Below are 19,997 nucleotides of genomic sequence, written 5' to 3'. Positions count from 1 at the left end.
TACTAGGAAATGCCAACAGGAGCTGGAAGCAGAAGGGAAGCACCTTCTCTTACATCCTTTTCTTCAGTGCTTAACAAGTATCAAAAGCCAGAAGGCAAGAGAGTTAAAGAAAAGGCAATTTGCAAAATATAGAAGAATGGGGTATTGCTGAGGGGCAACAGGTAAATAACTGTCATAGAGGCATTTATACCGAGGAAGATGAGTAGGTTTGTGTTTAGCAATAAAGAGTCTTCCACATCAAGGCTATATCTTCCACACAAGTTAGTGAGAGGTTATTTAAAAATACAGTTTGTTTTCCTATGCATTAATATATAACAGTCTTAACGGTTACAAAGATCAAGAGTTAATTAGGTTGATTGGGTAGTAATACTCAAAGAAAAAAATCCAACTCATAATTATTCTAAATCAGTTTATTTCCTGCTGATTTTAGTGAGATATTAATAGTTTCACACATTTTTAGAAAGTCAGCCATTGTAAAATAAAACATTTTGTTTTACATAGGCTAGCTGAGTCCTGGACACTTTTCTAGGACAGTAGGGGTCTTTCATTTGAAAAGGCAACTCCTCACAAAAGTGCCCATGCACATTTAAAAATGTGTGGAGCTATCCTCTTCTTATAATCCTTCATGATTAAATTGTGTCTGTGGCTGGGCATGGTGGCTCACACCTGTAATCCCAGCTACTGGAGAAGCTGAGGCAGGAGGATAACTTGAGGCCAGGAGTTTAAGACCAGCCTGGACAACAAAATGACTCCCCACTCATCTCTAAAGTAAATAAATACATAAATTAGCTCGGCATGGTGGCACATCTGTAGTCCCAGCTACTCGGGAGGCTGAGGTAGGAGAATTGCTTGAGTTCAGGAGTTTGAGGCTGCAGTGAGCTATGATTGTCTCACTGCACTCCAGCCTGAAAAAATAAAAATAAAATAAAATGTGTCTGTAGCACAAGTGTACCTGTTTTTAATAGGATGTTGACTCTAACAACCAGAAAATATAGTATGACTACATGTAATGGGAAGAGAGTAATTAAATCATGGCAAAATAAGATTTTAGAAACAGTCATTCTCTAGCAAATTATCTGACACTAACTGACTCAACTTCCGTGCATTGATTTCATCCTCTCTCAATGCTCACTGAGGTGACTTCCTATGTCCTTCCGCCAAAACTTCTGTGATTCCTGAGATGATTTTCCCAACCATTCCACTCTACTTTTAACTTTCCATCATGAAAACCTTTTGGAATTTGATTCCACTTTTTTTGCTTCTTCACTTTCATGTCTTAGGAAAGTTGTTCATTTCCCTTGATTAATCTTTATTAGCAAGGTCGAAAGAACTGGTGTTAAAACATAATGCAGTAATCATTCCCAAAGGATATGATAACACCGCTACAAAGCAGATGTTGTATCTGTGGTTGGCAAGAGACCAAAGGGGACATCACTGGTCATCAGTGGGGAAACAGCTCAGAAGGATCCTGTAGAAGAGACAAACTCCACAGAGCAGTGATTCAACAAAGTAGGGGGATGTGCTAGAGACCACAGAACTCTGATAGTTTAAGAGTAAATCCCTGAACAGCCTACAAATGAGGAAAGCAAGAGGACAGTGTAAGGTGTGAGATATATGAGATCCTTTAGGGAGCTCAACACACCTGTGTGAGGTAGATGGAAAGTGGTTGAAAAATAGGAAATTTAAATTAGTCAGCTCACAAAACTTCCAGAAACACATTTAACAATTTCTAGTGAAGGCCTATTAAAGTAAAGCCATTAAAAACTTTTCACGGGGATACAGAATGAAAAATGAATGAATACAGGCACGCATTATACAAGGATAGGATTTCTCAATTTTAGAGATGCCAATTAATCCTTATTTCACTTCAAAGTTTAAATAAATTCCAATCAAATACCTATTTTTGATAATATGATAAATATCCTTGAATTTCAAGTGCAAGATTGGTCATGAATTAATATTCAAAGAGCTTCTAAAGAATAGTGATAAGATTTGCTCTGTCAGAAAGTAAAATGTACTATAAAATAACTACTCAACCAGTGTGATATTAGAGCAAACTAGACACACAAATCAAAGCACAGAATGGAATATTCAAAAGTAATATTCAATTAGTGAGGAAAGGTTATTTTTTAAAGAAATAGAAGTATGCACATTGTTTAATACTAAAGGATGCCAATTAGATTATGTTCAAAATATAATCTAAAATAAAATAGATCAGATATTACCATATTTTCAAAATTATAGTGAGTTAAAAAGCAAATTTAGGTAAATGCATCTAATGTTGGAGAGTTCTCTAAATATAGACGAGCTCTACAAACATGAAAATAGAAGTTGTAAGCATGAAGGAAAAGATTTGAATGTGTAAATTATTTATATAACAATATGAAGTGGCTATTAAATAAAATTTAAAAATGAGTAAAAAATATTTTAAACACTTATGAAAGATAATTACTTCTTTAATTGTAGAAATGTAAATATCATAAAAGTAAAGCCAAATAATTTTTAAATGAAAAATATAAATAAATAAGCATTTCTAAAAGAAGAAATCATAGTCAATTTTTAGAAGAATTTTGAAAAATGTCCAATTGTGTAAACAATTGAAGTAATGCAATTTAAAACAAAGAATTATCACTCTGCTGCATCAATCAAATTTTTTTAAATTAATGATTTTATCATTCTGGAAATGGGAAATGAGACTTTTGATTACACATTATCTTTATGTGGACACTGGCTCATGCTTTCTAAAGGCCAGTTTACAATATGTATCAAAAATCATAAAAATGTATGTAGACCCAGAATTACTATTTTTTAAATTTCCTCATAAGTAATAATGAATGAGGATTAAGTGTTGCTATATCTCAAGGTTTTTTTTTAAGTCACAGTGTGGTAAAATGTGCAAAACTTAAAAGTCCAAGACTAACTATAATGCTATGCAATAATTTATAATATTATTATAGGTCTATATTTATTGATGTAGAAACATATTTTCTATGTATTCTATATAAAAAGGTAGAAAAAGGTGCAGATAATACGATCTCTTCTTTTAAAAATATTACATGTGTTTGTTTTGTTGGGGAGTTCCCAAGACCAACCCCACATTCAAATCTTTACTACCAGGACTCAAGACTCACAATAGGGTTGTCTTCACAGCTAACATTGATTACAGGAGCTTAATGAGAATTCACCACACAGTCAAATCATAAGACACAGGCAGTGTCTGCAGGAATCTATGTGCAGACTTCTCATGCTACCTCTCCCCATAAGAGTCATAGTGCATCCTTCCCCATCAACAAAAATGCAGCAACCTCTAGGTTATGTTTCTACCCAGGAAAACCCACTAGAAACGCAGTGTCCGAGGACTTCATTCAGAATTGGCCACATTGGCAACCTCTGCCTAGCATGTACCAAAATTCTGCATTCTTTGTACAAACAGAGAGGGACAGTGAGCCACCTTATCAATTAGGGAAAGATTTGTGTAAGGAACTGTTTGCCAGCCAAGTTTTCAGATGCTAGCCAAAGGCCAATCTTGCAAGCAGGCTTTCCTAAGAATAGCAGCAGTTCAGGCCTGCCATAAAACACTTTTCTCCACATTGTGCACATAGAAAAGTCAGAAACATATGTGAACATGTTAATAGAAGTGATTGATATCTGGGTGGTAAGAGTACAGATAAAAGTTTATTGTCTTCTTAATATATTTATTTATTTTAAATGTTTTATTTTTGTAGTCATTAATGGGGACGGCATTATGCACCCTAAGAGTAAAGTGAATGGATTTCGGAGTCTGTCACCAGCTGGGAAACCTGATGCTTTTCTTGATAACACAGTTTAAACTGCGTAGTGCTGTTTATGGCCATGTTGTTCCCAGGCACACTTCACTTGGTACTGACTGGGCACTGACTCCTCCTCCTACATGAGTGCTTGATCTTCTGTCTCCCATTTTATAGTTTCCGAAGCTAAATCTGCAGTGAATGAATGCCAATGCCCTTTTCCTACAGCAAAGGACTTTTTCTTGTCTCATTTATTTGGTTCTTATATTAAGTATAACACAAATGTTAAAGTTATATTCTTACCCATTTCACTTCATTCTGCATAACAAAATGATGCATTTGCCTCTGGCTTGGCTGTTTCTTTGTTTTGATACCTGTGTCAGGATTTACTGCATTTTTTATTTACTTGTTTGGACCTTGGTCCAGATTGTTAAACTTTTCTCTGTCCCTGTTTCATGCTGACCTTGAGTCAGTTCTTTCTCCCTATTGGCTCAGGGTGTTTTGCTTACAGAACATCTCTAACCTGCAGTAATATATCCTAACCCTTACTAGAAACCAATGCTAATACTTCCTAATTGCTATGATGCATTGAACTTGAAGGAACTGAAAGAGAAAAACCAAAAACGTTACTTTCTCAGCAATCTTCACTATCTTGAATATTCCCAAAAGTTAAGAATATGCCCACATATAAAATAAAGAAATTGAAAAGCCAATAATATTAGTGCTGATCAAATATAGGACACTAGTTCCGCATAACCAGTTAGCCACTCTATTTCTATTTTCCCTGTGTTCTCCTGTGCAGAAATTGGCAGATTCTGATGAACAAACCTCTAAAGGCTAGCAAAAGTAGCATCAGATGGTTATAAGGCTTTTTACAGCCCAGAAGGTCTCAGGGTCTGTCGTATGGAAATTGGTCGTATGCTAGTGCCCAGATCCAGGCAAAGTATGCAGGAGGCAGGATAATTTTGTATCATCTCTCAACTCCCTAGCTAGGTAAATCCACTTGGTCTTTCCCTGTAGCCATTCCTTGGAGTCAACCTTTTCTTCTATTTCTCCCCAAGCATAGACTAGCTAGTCAGATATCTTATCCAGGAGTGTTTTAGAATCTCAAAGATGTCAAATGTCTTTATGTAATCTCTATTTCACAGAGAAGAAAACCAAGGCTAGAGAGGTAATATAGCTTGTCCAATGTCCCACACAGCTGCTTGGTGGCAGGCAAGATTAGTACTTAGGCCACTTGGTTCTATGCCCAGACAAAACTTATAAACTTCCCTGATATATCATTCAACCCATGATCTGGGCAAGTATTGCAAACCCTGCCCAGCGGGAAGTCTTGTAGGTCCTCATGTGAGGGCTGTCTAGATCAAGAATTCCATTGCTCCCATTGACACTGTAAGGGGGAACCCAGGACTTCTATCCTGACTTTCACACATACCATTTATTACCTCACAATTGACATAAGATTTTTCTTTTATTTTCTGATCATGAAGATTGAATAAGACAATTTGTGTAAAGTTTTAAGTAATTTCCTTACACATATTAGGTCAACAAGTGATGGCCAGGGTTATTCACAATGCCTCCCCAACCCTAGAGTGTCCATGGGGGGCTTGCTACTTAACAGCAAAAGAAAGATAGCTAAAGTGGAAGAGGGAGTAAAAAAGACAGAACAGGATAATGGTGAAATTAATGAACCCTCCCAAATCACCTTTGTACAGTAAGTCCTCACTTACTATAATAATAATATTACAATAAATATTGTAATAAATTTAAGCTATCCATACATTTGCAAAAGATTAATAAAACCATGATTATTATTTACCCAATTTTAGGTGAATCAGTAAGTAATGGTGATCATAGTAGTGGAGGTTAAATTAAGGAATAAATGCTTGCCAAGAGAACATTGTAAAGAGCACCTCCTACCACAAGGCAGTTCAAAACAATCACAAATATGGCAGGCTTGCTGAACACTTTCAGATCACATCATTTATTGTCATGCATTTGTATCATTATTGTATATTTACAAATTTTTATGTTGAAATAATTTGTATTTTTCATTCATTTTCCAACTCGTTTATTTCAGTTCAGGGTTCTGGAAGGCCGAAGCACAAAGCAGGAGCCAAGCCTGAGCAGAACACCATTCCATCACAAGGTGCACTCACACACACCCACACTTACTCAGACTGAGACAATTTAGATATGCCATATGTGTGTGTGTGTGTATTTTGTATGTACTTATGAATGAATATTGGTATGAAATTTTTATCTCTCTTAACAATTCCCATTAAGGTTTAAAATCAAGGTTTTCTGGCCTCATAAAACGACTTGGGATTTTTCTTGTATATTCTCTGAAATATTTCTGAATCACTGAAATTTTATAATCTTTGTTGAAGCCATTGGGGACTGGATATTTCTTTATTGAAAAGTTTACAAATAATTCAGTTGTTAAATGTTTGTATAAGTCCCCAATTTCTTCCAGAATAAATCATGCTATTGTTTATTTTATTAACATTTCATTTATTTTCATCTAAATTATACATAGCTATATATAATAACCTTTACAGTATGTCCTTATTACCTTGTTATTCTCTGCAGCATCGGTAGTTATAGCTCTTTTATCATTTCTGATAATGTATATTGGGCTTTTGTTTCACTAATCAGTCTCACTAGAGATTTGTCAATTTTATCAGTTTTTTAAAAAGAACAAATTTTTGGTTTTGTTGGTATCTGTATGGTAAATTTGTTTCCTATTTTAACTATTCAAGTCCTATATAACTTTAAGGCTCTACATGCAGCTTTTGGTCTTTCTTCCTTTCTATGTTGAAAAGGAAGTACTTAGAAATATGTAGCTATAAATATATTTATGGGGATATTTATTCATTTTGCTCACTGATGCATGTCTAGAGCTGGAAGGGTGCCTGGTACATAACAGGCAATAAATATTTATTGCATACAAAATGAGTAGAATATATTACTAGAAAATCCCCATATGTTTGTATAAACCATGGAATACTATGCAACCATAAGAAAGGATGAGTTCATGTCCTTTGCAGGGACATGGATGAAGCTGGAAACCATCATTCTCAGCAAACTAACACAAGAACAGGAAACCAAACACCGCATGTTCTCATTCATAAGTGGGAGTTGAACAATGAGAACACATGAACACAGGGAGGAGAACATCACACACTGGGGCCTGTTTGGGGGTGAGGGGCTAGGAGAGGGATAGCATTAGGAGAAATACCTAATGTAGGTTACGGGTTGATGGGTGCAGCAAACCACCATGGCACGTGTATAGCTATGTAAAAAAACTGCATGTTCTGCACATGTACCCCAGAACTTAAAGTATAATAAAAAAAGAAAAAAAGAAAATCCCCATATGTTTAAAACTTAGAAAGCACACTTGTAAATAATAGCTTAAAAAGAAATCATATTTTCACAAGAAAATATTTTTAAATATTGTACATGAAAACTTGTGATATTTAACTAAAATAGTACTTAGAAGGAAATATACAGCCATAAATATATTATGTATGTATAGATAATGGTATTATTTTAAAAGATTTGTTAAACCTCCCAAATGATTCTAGATTTTTGCATTTCTTTCTTTAGTTCTGAGTGTGTGTGTATATATATACTGGTGGCTTCCTAAAGAATTAAAATTCATGCATTATAAACCGAACCCCTCTATCATTGGTAATTTTATTATAAAACCTAGTATATCGCATTTTAATACATCTATACCACATTCCTTGGGGTTTTGTAAGCCTTTAGTTATTTAATTTTTACATCTCTATTAGTCAGCCTTTGTTAGGTTATTCTCCAATAGCAAATAATGCTAAACCCTAAATGGCTTAGAACCACAAAGCTCTGTTTCTTAAACAAGTTGTGTGTGGGTATCAACCCTCAAACAGTTCTTCTTTTTTTTTATTCTGTGATTAAGACTGAAGAAACAGCCCTTAAGAGAATAGCATGCTGTTCTCACTAAGGGAGAAAAAACAGGATGGTAGAGCTGTGCCATAGTTCTTAAAGCTTCTGCTTAATTTTCACAGCACCCATGGTCAAGAGATTGGCTTGAAATTTTCTTTTGTTGTACTACTTTTGTCAGAATTTTTAGTCAATATTATGCTAATGTTCAGTATGTACACATTCACTCCAGATCTACTCTCTACCATTCTTCACCCAGCTTTCTTTCTCAGAAGACTGATCTATATGGATCACAGTAACAGGGTATAAAATAGAAGACACAAAAACTGGGATGCTGCTAATCCCAGATTATTCCATTGTCTATGGTATTTTCCTATCTCTTGAATTTCCTTTATTTTGATGTGCTATTTATTTTCTAGTGGACCTTGGCTGAAACAGTGATTAGGAGCAAGAGTAACTTAAGAAAAAAATTCCTGAAAATGGGATTCTTGGATTGGGTTGCTTGTATATCTAATGAGTACACAAATAACTTCAGTGTTGGGGTAAAAAAGGATGAATTCATCCCAGCATTTAATACTTTTTTTTTTTTTTTTTTTTTGAGACGGAGTCTTGCTCTGTCACCCAGGCTGGAGTGCAGTGGCATGATCTCCCCTCACTGCAACTTCCGTCTCCCAGGTTCAAGCGATTCTCCTGCCTCAGCCTCCCGAGTAGCTCGGACCACAAGCACACACCACCACGCCCAGCTAATTTTTTTGTGTTTTTAGTAGAGATGAGGTTTCGTCATGTTGGCCAGGTTGGTCTCAAACTCCTGACCTAATACCATTTTAATTAACAAATAAACACCAGTAATAGCATAGGATGAATTACAGAGGGAGGGCAAGACATTGGGTGATCATGTGGTTGTTGGCAATAACAGAGATTTCAGAGATTTATTAAGCTTCTGGCTTTTCTTTACTATCATAGAGAGTAAGCATAGACGAAAGGGAAATTATAAGTAATAAGCATTTTAAAAGATGTATGAAAAAATCAAAATGTTTTTATGACAGATGTGAAGGATCATCCAGGGGTTTAGGGCAGCCATGGCTAAGGATGAAGCACACAAACTGATTATACATTTAGCTGTCAAATATCAGCCTGACCAGCGCTCTTCTGCTCAATAAGAAGTAAGACTTTGAGACATGAAATGGACATTTTTCAGCAGATCCATGTGAGGCTGAGATCTTGATGACCCATTTCCTTTAAATTACCCTTACCGCCCCCGTCCCCCGACACACACACAGGCGCACACACCACATCTAAGGTAATCAACCATACTCAACATAAAAGACTCAGGGATTGCACCTGAAATAATTGCCCCATCACTTAACTTTGTTTCTAGGCCTACAACAGGAACTGGATCACAGTATAATCAGATAAAGAGGTACAAGGTTGGCTCTGAGAACAGATAAACTGCAAAAATAATAATAATTAATAATAATAATAAAATGCCTTCCAATTTGTATCTGTGGGAGTTAGGAGGGTATATTTAGGAAAGAATTGTAAAGACTTTAGCCAAGGGAGAGGAAACATAAATTGGAATTCAGTCAAACTCATTGCTATGGGAGTATTCCCTTGGGCTTCAGAATTTAATATATTGGCTCATGCATGCAAAAGTGGCATTAATATTTTGCTAGCTAATAGACTAAACAAAACCTAAACTAAACATTGATCTATGGTTAATAAGTTGGAAATGTCACATCTTTTAACTCATTGTAAAGGAATTAATTCAAAGATTCAGAGAAATAGATGTGTTGGAATGAATTATTTGGACAGCCTCCTTGGCTAATCCCTAACCACTGTTACACAGAGGACCTGGAAAATAACCACCTACCAATGCATTAATAAATGCATCAATAAATGCATTGGTGATGAGAATATAAACATCTTTGAAGTGTTCTAAAGAAATTGTCATTAGTAAACTAGAGATGACGGTGATGATGCTACAGAGAAATTGAGCTCACTGCTATCAATAAGAATAATAGTATTCCAGAGGATGGAAGGCAGGAAGTTACATGAAACTGTCAGGGAGAAGATATGGAAAATAACCAATATAAACCTGAAGTTCAGAGTAATGAGAGGAGTTTTGTCCTGCAGAGATCTGTAGAAATGGCTAATGGATAAGGGATTTCTAGCAATGAAGCAGATGAGCAGACAACTAAAGTGATGTTTGACATTTATTTCATGTCTGACAAACAGATAAAAGTAAGTTATAGTGTTTTAATTCATGTCTTTGCACCCAATTGCCAATTCAACACCAATTCCCAAACCCAAAACCCCTTGATTGTGAGGGTAGATGGGGAATTTTGAGGAAAGACACAACAGCATGGCCACAATTATATCCTGAGAATCTTGTTCCAATATTTCCCTAGAGAACTTTGCCATCTACTAAGGTATCTGTGTACTGGATAAAGAAAAATACCCAGGCCTTCTAGGGATCATAAGATATACTGTCTATTAACCTGTTCAGATCCCAAGAGACCCAAAATGCTGCTATGATCTACTTTTCAGAGTAGGGACTTATGGAGCTAGAGTATTAAATGGAGTCTTGGCTCAAGTTTACCAGGGTTTAAGGCTGTTTGAAACTGAATTTGGCTCCTGTGAAAGTTGATTTTTTTCTTGTTTAATCTTGTTCCTATTATATTCCCTTTTAAATGTCAATTCAAAGTTCAGGAAGTTCACCAGCCCCATCACTCCTCAGTGGTTCATGATCTATATATTTGCTCTTTACCTCGGTGTGTCTCAACTTCTTGACTTTTTGGTAATATCTTCCGGAATTGTCAGATTCTCCTTGGGAGCTAATTACTCCCAAATACCAGGACAACATCACAGGTTAGTTGCTTTTCCTGAATACTAATTCTTTGTTAAAGTCTGATGCCTTCGATCTGATTTTTTTCCAATATTTTTGTAGTTTTTCTAGTGATTACTAGTCTGTGGGCTGACTAAAAATTTCTAGCTCACTATTCCCCAAAGAGAAACTCTAATTAGTATACTTTAACTAAAGTAAATATCTTAAAACATAATATATACACTAAATGGGACGTAAATCATAAGGGTTTAGCTTGATGAAAGTGTTACAAATTGAACATATCTAATAAATAAATTAAATATTATGAGAACACTGTAGGGTTCCATTGTACTGCCTCTCAGGTATTGCATTTATAAATATAACTTCTATCCTGACTTCCACCACCATCATTGTGACCTTTCCTTGATCATTATATAAATTGAATCATACTGTGCTTGGCCTGTATCTCTACATATCATGTCTATGAGAATCTTATTTTCTTTTTGTTTTTCTTCAGTAGACTTTATTTTTAGAGCATATTTAGGTTCACAGAAAAAATACACAGAAAATATCAAATTCCGTTGTGGCCTCCCTCTCCTGCACAGTTTTTCTTATTATTAACATTCTGAATTATTGCTGTACATTTTTTATTTATTAAACCAATGTTGACACATTATTATTAACCTAAGTCCATATATTTTACATTTGGGTTCATGCTACATATTTTCAGAACTGCAAAATGTCATAGTCACAATTAGAGTATTATACAGAATAGTTTCACTGTCCTAAAAATGCCTTGGGCCCCATTTATTTTTCCCTCCCCTCCTTCTCTGAATCCTTGGAAAACACCAGTGGTCATTTTATTATTTCAATAGTGTTGCTTTTTCCAGAATGTCATGTAGTTGGGACCACATAGTATATAGGCTTTTCAGACAGCTCTTTTCCACTTAGCAATACACATTTAAGGTTCCTCAATGACTTTTCATGGCTTGATAGCCCATTTATTTTTCTATTTATCTGTTCTTTCACCAATACCACACTGTCTTGATTACTGTAGCTTTGCAGTAAGTCTTGAGGTCAGATAGTGTCAGTTCTTCAACTTTGTTCCTCTCCTTCAATATGTTTTAAAATGTTGACTTTATTTTTATTCAGATAGGGTAAGACCAGCAGATAGAGAGATGACTGCCATTGAAAGATAGTTGATTACTTAGAGTTCCTGAGTGCCTGAGTGGGAAGGTGGCATATCACGCCACACATGAAGTGCCATGGGGAGAACACCAGAGCACAAAGTTCAGTTGTAGGCAGAAAGCAAAGGGAAGTTTTGGAGAGTCTTCAGAGTGGTTTTGAGGCAAAGCAGGGTAAGTGGTTTTGAGCAGGTTTAGAATTGGATAGTTTAAACAGTTTCACTGGGTTCCAGGACTATCCTTAGTTGTCTGACACCTGGCCCCAGGGGGATTAGGAAAAGGAAGTAGTGTCCCTCAGTCCAAGAGCATGCAAAAATAGGCAATTGTGGGTATGACTTCTGGATGTGTTTGACTGCACATGAAATTAAATTCATTTTCTATCTCTATGAATCTGCTAACCCTAGGAGGGCTGCTTTTTTCCTGGTCAGGAAGGTCCAGATGTCAAAGCATCAAATATGGGAACTAGAAAATCTCTTTAATATCTAATTTTTGACTCCCCCATTTGTTAGATTCTGGTCTTTAATTTCTGTCAGCCTCATCCTGTGATTCTCTCAAATCAACAGCTTGAGTTTGTAATTTCATACAGGTAAATAAATGTCCTCAGAATAGAAGCAATTTCCAGTGTTCCTCTGTGGATTTTATTTTCTTCAGATTTTGGCCTAAAAATTCCTACTATACCTTCAACTTGTCAATAGGTTTCTAAAATTTTTTAAAATTTTTCCCAGCAATTTTGTTTTCAGAAAGTTTTCTCATGTGACCAGCCAAGCCACTACAAGAAATAGTTCTCAGTCTTCCTCCTCACTCCTTTTTCCTTTGAGTGTCCTAGGCACAAAACATTCAGTATTGACTTTTTATTCCTAATTCTTATATTTCTACTTGGCTTATTATTCCAGAATGTTTTTATTCATGAAGTCATTTGCTGAATCTCGGCCCTGGCTGTGGTCAAGGCAATCCCTGCTGGGGGTGCTCATCCTTGTAGCTGCCCTGTTGTTAATGTCACAATAACACTGAACATCATTTTACCTCTTATTACACATAGCTCTGCTTACATCTGTCTTCTCTACTAGAGCAGATCAATTCATACATTTTATCTTTGTATCACTATAATGTCTCATATCCTGCTCTCTAAATCATGGTACTCAATGAATGGTTCCTCGATGAAAGTCATTTCCTTACAATAATTCCTAGGACAGAATTAAGAAATCCAGTTATTTGAATTTTTTCCAGGTTTTGATTTAGGAGAACAGAGACTACTTAGGTAATTCCCAAAAGTGCCAAGCAACCAGCACTCACCAACCCCTGCCTTCATCTCTTAGGCCTTATCAAGGCAGTTTTATTGTATATCTCCTGGTTGGAGAATTTGGCTTCTCCTGGCATTTCAACATTTTGTAGTCTTGATGTCAGAAAATCACTAGAATACTTATCTACACTTGTAGTTCTTTGCAGAGATGGAATGTTTTATTGCCATTTGAATTTTTTTCTTCTGGTATTAAATAATATGTCCTTGTTCAAGGTTAGTCATTTATTTCCTCTCTTGTTTTAGCTCTTACTAAGTCTCAGAAGGCCTTACTCCTTAGAATCCCAGAAGGCTATAAATACTCTCAAATACAATTATATAGAATCTGAATTGACATATTAATATAAACCAGACTATTTTCAGCTCTTATTTAAGACTTAAAAAGGTTTGGACAACTAAGTCTCCATATAAGCCCTTTATGAAATGCTTCAGTGCATTTTCTTCCAATTATTTAATCTTCTGGGACAGATGTCATTGATTTTACAACTGACTTTCTGCTGCCTCTTTCAATATTTAAAAGACCTACCAGAGTATAAGTCAACAAAGTCATATGGCAGCTTCCTTGATCTTTTGAACATAAGTAGGTAAGTCTATTTTCTTTGTCAGTTACTATCTAAAGAAAGAAATATTTTCTACCAAAAATTCAGGTGTGAATTCATTAGCAGTTTTTATTGTTATAAAAAGGATTCTGAGCCAAAGTAAAACTTTATTTGCTCTTTTCTTGAAATGAAAAAGCTTCCACTCTGCTAGAGTGCACACACACAGATACAGACACATATACACACACACACATATACACCCACCCCATCTTAATATATCAAATTTAAATGCTGAGATGTCAAGCAACAGAAGTAACTAGAAAGGCAGGAAAACTCAGCAGTGTAGATTTCTCCTTTTAAAGTAAAAGATGATTTTGAAAAAAAATAAAAATTTAAAAATAATACGGATTATAGTAGAACAAAGAATATATTCCAGAAAAAAATAGCAGATGAGAAAACTCATAAACAAAAGAAGAATGAAATAAACCATGCCATAATTTATTAAGTATTTAATTAGTGTCTGTTGTGTGCCCAGTATTGTTTGCAGCTGCTGCGGATTGTTTAGAATACGTTGCTATGCCCCCTGCCTCAAAGAAAGAATGTAAGTAAGGTTATGAGGCATCCACATAGGCAAATTGGTTATAAAGTAATACAAGATATTACCTAACCTGTTCCCATACATGCATGATTTTAAAGTCCCTAAGGGCTATGAAGAGAATGAGCATCTGTATGGACTCTAGTAGGCAGGGAAGGTTTATTGGAGAACATGGGACATGACAGGGATTTGAATATGAAAAACAATGGGCAAAACAAGTATATGAAGCAACCTGAAAAAAGATATAGAAGCAGTACTAGTGTTGAGGACAAGATTAGAGGATATTTTTTATTTAACAAAATTCTCATGAAAGTCACAGAAAAAGAAGCTAATGATTTAGGGAGACATTGCAATTTGTTTGGTTCATAAAACTGTGATTGAAATTAAGCAACATCCTCTTGACCTTCCTTGCCTTTGAGTGTTTTCATCAATCATATCGTTGATTTGCCTACTTTCCTACCCCTTTTTCCTTTTTTTCTTATCTCCCTAATATTAAGATTAAAGAGAATAAAGCTCATATTGTAAAATTTGATAATTCAAAAACTTGGATAATTAAAATTGGATTATTCCAGAAAAGTCAGAAATGTTCAAATAAGTTTTACTTGAACAAGCAGTGTGGAACTATGCTTTCATCCCTTGGAAAAAGTATATGAGCAGATCATCTTCTCACAAGGTAAAGAATGGGTGCCATAAAATTTGGTAAGTAGAAAGTGGATTTGAAGTTAGAAGACTTGAATTCTGATACTGGATCTACCACTTGAGCATATTATTTAATTTTTGACATTCTAATCAAGTCAAAATATTTGAGCACATGATAAATCACAAACTATGCTATATTCTAGGGACTCATTTTTTAATTAAAAAAAGTTATTCCTGCATGTGAGAAGCTTATAATCTATAAAGAGTGCCAAATATATAAAGAGGTATGTTCAATGCAACATGTTAAATGCAAGGATGAGGATGTTCATGGGTTACTCTGCCCAGGAGAGGGCACTTAGTACACTTGCCTTACCCGTGAGATAGCGACAGACACTTTTGCTATCTACCAGGATGTTAGAGTCAAAATGAAGTAGCTTACATGAAAGCATCTTATTTTCCGCAAGGTCTGAAACAAAGGAAAAAGCTGTTGTAGCAGGTGTGTGGAACTACCTAAGCAAATAAACCACAACAGAGATGATGAACAATGAACAAACTCAAGTGTGTCATGTCAAACAACTCCTAACATCTTATAGCCATTAAAGTAGCCAACAAGTTGGGAGATGTTGAGTTGTGCAAATATTACATCTGGTTTCTCCTGAATCTCTGAAGCTGATTCTGAAAGTAAAAATGATTAGGGCTCTGGGAGGAGGAATAACCTAGACTATAAAATAATGGGAAGTTCCTGAGATAGGCTCTTCTCTTTCCATTTAGCACTTTCTGGCTATTTTATTTGCAAGAGATTCAAGGTGTGTTCACGTTATTTCCTCTCCTTTCTTCAATAGAGAGAAGACTTAACCTAAGTCTTCCTGCTCCACCCCTATCCCTAGTGATCATCAATCTATTTTGTTTCATAGACAGATACATCATAACCTTGTGACCCAGGTTTTACACTTGGGTCCCTTCACAGTTCCAGAAACATACAGAACAAATGTCATAGAATCATGAAAGAGAATTCAAAGGCTATAGACTCCTTAGATAAAAAAGGGCAGATTTATTAAAGAACCCTGATTTAATCATCCCACAATGTATACATGTATCCAAACATCACATAATACCCCATAAATAGGTATAATTATTAGTTGCTAATAAAAAATAAATTAAAAAGAAAATAATTTTTAATGTAAAAGTAACAGTTCTTTCTTTAACTGTGCATATTTAAATTTTTGCTCAATTTTAAAAAAAGAATCTCAAGGATAAGAACACTTGAGTCAAATGCAGGGAAACTCTGTCCTGATTTAAGGATCCAGGCTCTTCTAGTGTTCAAATATCAAACCAGGATATTTGCCTCTCAACTCCTTAACTGCATAAGCAGCTGACACATAGATTGGAGTTACTATGTGTTAAGTGCTGTTTCAAGTACTTTACTGATACCATCTAAGTTCTTACAACAATCCTATATAATATGTTCTATTATTATTTATGTCTTACAAATGACAAAAATTGTCACACTGAAGTTCATAGCTCTAAGTGGCAAAGGCAAGTTTCAAACTCTAGCATTCTTGTTCCTGAGTTCATGCTCTGAGGCACAGTGTTTTAATGCCTTTACAATAATGCTAATTAAATGGATTGTGATATTAGGAAAAGAAACCAAATTACTAGGATAGAATATACATCCAAGGACCAAATACATACAGTACAAGAAAAATAATTTAAATTTTCTATTCCATATTAAAGGTAATGTTCTTCTTAAACTGAGAGAATTTTTTCACTTTGTCAAATAGTTGGATCCTTTTAACTTTGGGGTATTTATATACTGTAGATAATCATTTCTCTGTTACTTCAGATTAATAATTTTTTGGAAAAATCATTAAAGAGGCATCTATATCTAGATAGACTAAGAGAAAGAGATGTTAACATTATGAATCTGACAATATACTTAAAGTGAAGGCGTTGGGAAAATGTTCGTATTACAAAGATAGTTATCATTTTGTCTCTTTCAAACACATTCACAGAAAGAAGTTCTTCAGATGCGAGGTTTCAACAAAACCACTGTGGTTACACAGTTCATCCTGGTGGGTTTCTCCAGCCTGGGGGAGCTCCAGCTGCTGCTTTTTGTCATCTTTCTTCTCCTATACTTGACAATCCTGGTGGCCAATGTGACCATCATGGCCGTTATTCGCTTCAGCTGGACTCTCCACACTCCCATGTATGGCTTTCTATTCATCCTTTCATTTTCTGAGTCCTGCTACACTTTTGTCATCATCCCTCAGCTGCTGGTCCACCTGCTCTCAGACACCAAGACCATCTCCTTCATGGCCTGTGCCACCCAGCTGTTCTTTTTCCTTGGCTTTGCTTGCACCAACTGCCTCCTCATTGCTGTGATGGGATATGATCGCTATGTAGCAATTTGTCACCCTCTGAGGTACACACTCATCATAAACAAAAGGCTGGGGTTGGAGTTGATTTCTCTCTCAGGAGCCACAGGTTTCTTTATTGCTTTGGTGGCCACCAACCTCATTTGTGACATGCGTTTTTGTGGCCCCAACAGGGTTAACCACTATTTCTGTGACATGGCACCTGTTATCAAGTTAGCCTGCACTGACACCCATGTGAAAGAGCTGGCTTTATTTAGCCTCAGCATCCTGGTAATTATGGTGCCTTTTCTGTTAATTCTCATATCCTATGGCTTCATAGTTAACACCATCCTGAAGATCCCCTCAGCTGAGGGCAAGAAGGCCTTTGTCACCTGTGCCTCACATCTCACTGTGGTCTTTGTCCACTATGGCTGTGCCTCTATCATCTATCTGCGGCCCAAGTCCAAGTCTGCCTCAGACAAGGATCAGTTGGTGGCAGTGACCTACACAGTGGTTACTCCCTTACTTAATCCTCTTGTCTACAGTCTGAGGAACAAAGAGGTAAAAACTGCATTGAAAAGAGTTCTTGGAATGCCTGTGGCAACCAAGATGAGCTAACAAAAAATAATAATAAAATTAACTAGGATAGTCACAGAAGAAATCAAAGGCATAAAATTTTCTGACCTTTAATGCATGTCTCAGACAGTGTTTCCAAGGATTAAGACTACTCTTGCCTTTTTATTTTCTCCTATTCCAAAAAGAAAAAAAATGCAAGTCAATCTACACTCTATATTGTCCGATGTCTAGTTAAAAAAAAAGAATTCACACTTGGCAAAAAGAGAAAAGCATGAGAGTTTTTCAAGGAAAGACACAACCAAAACAAATATAAGGACAAGAATTGCTTTTCCAGTTGGAGAGACAGAACAGAGTCTGAAGTGGCTGGAAGCATTTTTATCCGGGACACAGGCATTCATCTAGTAATACATTCATCTGTGTACCAAGTCCCATTCAAAGAGGAAAAATTAAAATGAACAAATGTATAGTTTATGGTGGTTGGGACTGGTTAGGTGAAAAGATGAACACTGAAAAAAATATGATAATGCAAGATAATCAGATCAGTTAAAAGAATATAAATAAAAGTTATGAGAATCAAAGGAATGAGTATTTATTCCATCTGAAAGAGAAAAAGATTTAGAATAAGTGGGATGAAAAGAAGGGAGAGAAAATTTAAACTGGGCCTTAAATGGAGAACAAGATATTAATACTAAGAAACTGGGTTTTACAGTGACAAAAATGTTAGTCGATATTATCAGAATTGTTGATAATTCTAGATTTTTATTATGTTAATCATAAGTTAAACATTATTTTTATTTATAGTTCTTGTTTTGTTTTCACTTAGCTATATGTTTAAGTCTTTCAGATCATGTAATTTTATTTAATAATAGACTAAAAATAAACAATAATGACATCCTCATGCTTGATGATCAAATAGAACACAGTGCTCTGAAGAGGCAAAAATGGCCATAATCTCTATGATGATCATAGTGTAATATTTATAAGAACCTAACATTTTATTGATTACAATAATATAATTTGAATTATAAACACTGATCAGGATTGATTTTAAATCTAAACTATCATTTTCAAGCTACATAGTTTAAGAAATGTTATTTAAAATATTAAAACCGATAAGCCTTGAATTTTTTCATCTGGACAACTAAGATTTCTTTTTGAGTAAATATGTGAACTATCTCATTCTCACAGTGCTTGGATTCTAGTTGAGGAAGTCAATTACTGTTAATGAGATCCTTGTTCTGCCCAGAGACTAATCCATACTAGAATTAAAATGTGCTGATTTGTTAAAATTATGTTACATCTCACAAATGAAAAGCTGAAATATCATTATTTGTATGACTGTAAAAATTACATGTAAATTTCTTTTGAGACAGGGTTTCACTCCCGTCACCCAGGCTGGAGTGCAGTGGCTCCATCTTGGCTCACTGCAGCCTCCACCTCCCGGATTCAAGCTATTCTCGAGCTTCAGCCTCCCGAGTAGCTGGGACCACAGGCGCCCACCACCATGCCCGGCTAATTTTTGTATTTTTTGTAGAGACGGGGTTTCACCATGTTGGCTAGGCTGGTTTCAAACTCCTGTCCTCAAGAGATCTGCCTGCCTCACCCTCTCCAAGCGCTGGAATTACAGGAGTGAGCCACCGCCCCTGGCCAAAATATTTTTATATAACAAACTAAACAGCATGCTCTCTTCCCTCTGTAAAGCACCCTGACTGATTTTCATGGCACAATGAACACTTAATGTTTAACAGATTACTTTCCATTGTGCCTGCATATTTCTGCCCCTACAAGTTGGGGTGGGGGTTGGGGGTTGTGCTCAAAACCACTTCTAACAGTTGTATTTATTATTCTATTTATTCTACTTGGAAAATGTAATTTTGTACTATGTAAACTAATAAAGTATGATTGCAAAAAAATCATCTGTTTTTAATACAGCCAGGTGAGTATTTTGGAAAGACTAAATATGAGGAAGAAAATAAAATCAAAAATTCTAGAAGTCTTATTCATTTGGATTTGCAAGTGTCTCTAAGTTGCTGCTTATATTTAAATTCACCAAAATGAATGTAATGCATTATGAGTGGGCTTATGCTAGAGGTACTCTGAAGAACTCTGATCAAGTAGTCTAACACTCAAAGTAAAAGCTTTATCCTTACATGAATATACTCACAAATATATGCATTTTAAGTGGTTCGAGTTAAAATAAAACATTTTAGTATATGAGTCATCTTTTTTATTTTCAACTCTGTCGGACTTTGGATTAATCAACCAATTACCTGGTCCTGTTGGGCAGATGTGAGGATT

At 35.6% G+C, this 19,997-nt stretch overlaps 1 protein-coding gene across 1 annotated transcript; it reads left to right on the top strand.

The window, feature by feature from the left end:
* Positions 1 to 16,796: 16,796 nt before the first annotated feature.
* Positions 16,797 to 17,741, top strand: OR10T2 (olfactory receptor family 10 subfamily T member 2). Its single transcript, NM_001004475.1, has one exon. The coding sequence runs from the start codon at positions 16,797 to 16,799 to the stop codon at positions 17,739 to 17,741; it is 945 nt and encodes a 314-aa protein (NP_001004475.1).
* The last annotated feature ends 2,256 nt before the right edge of the window (positions 17,742 to 19,997 follow it).

This window comes from Homo sapiens, chromosome 1, assembly GCF_000001405.40.
Source record: "Homo sapiens chromosome 1, GRCh38.p14 Primary Assembly".
In the NCBI taxonomy this organism is placed as follows: domain Eukaryota; kingdom Metazoa; phylum Chordata; class Mammalia; order Primates; family Hominidae; genus Homo; species Homo sapiens.
The sequence above is the reverse complement of the archived record's forward strand: the minus strand, read 5'-3'. Positions and strand labels throughout refer to the sequence as shown.

What these genes read in the sequence shown, in the direction of transcription:
- OR10T2 (NM_001004475.1), top strand. Translation starts at nt 16,797, where the DNA reads ATGCGAGGTTTCAACAAAACCACTGTGGTTACACAGTTCATCCTGGTG.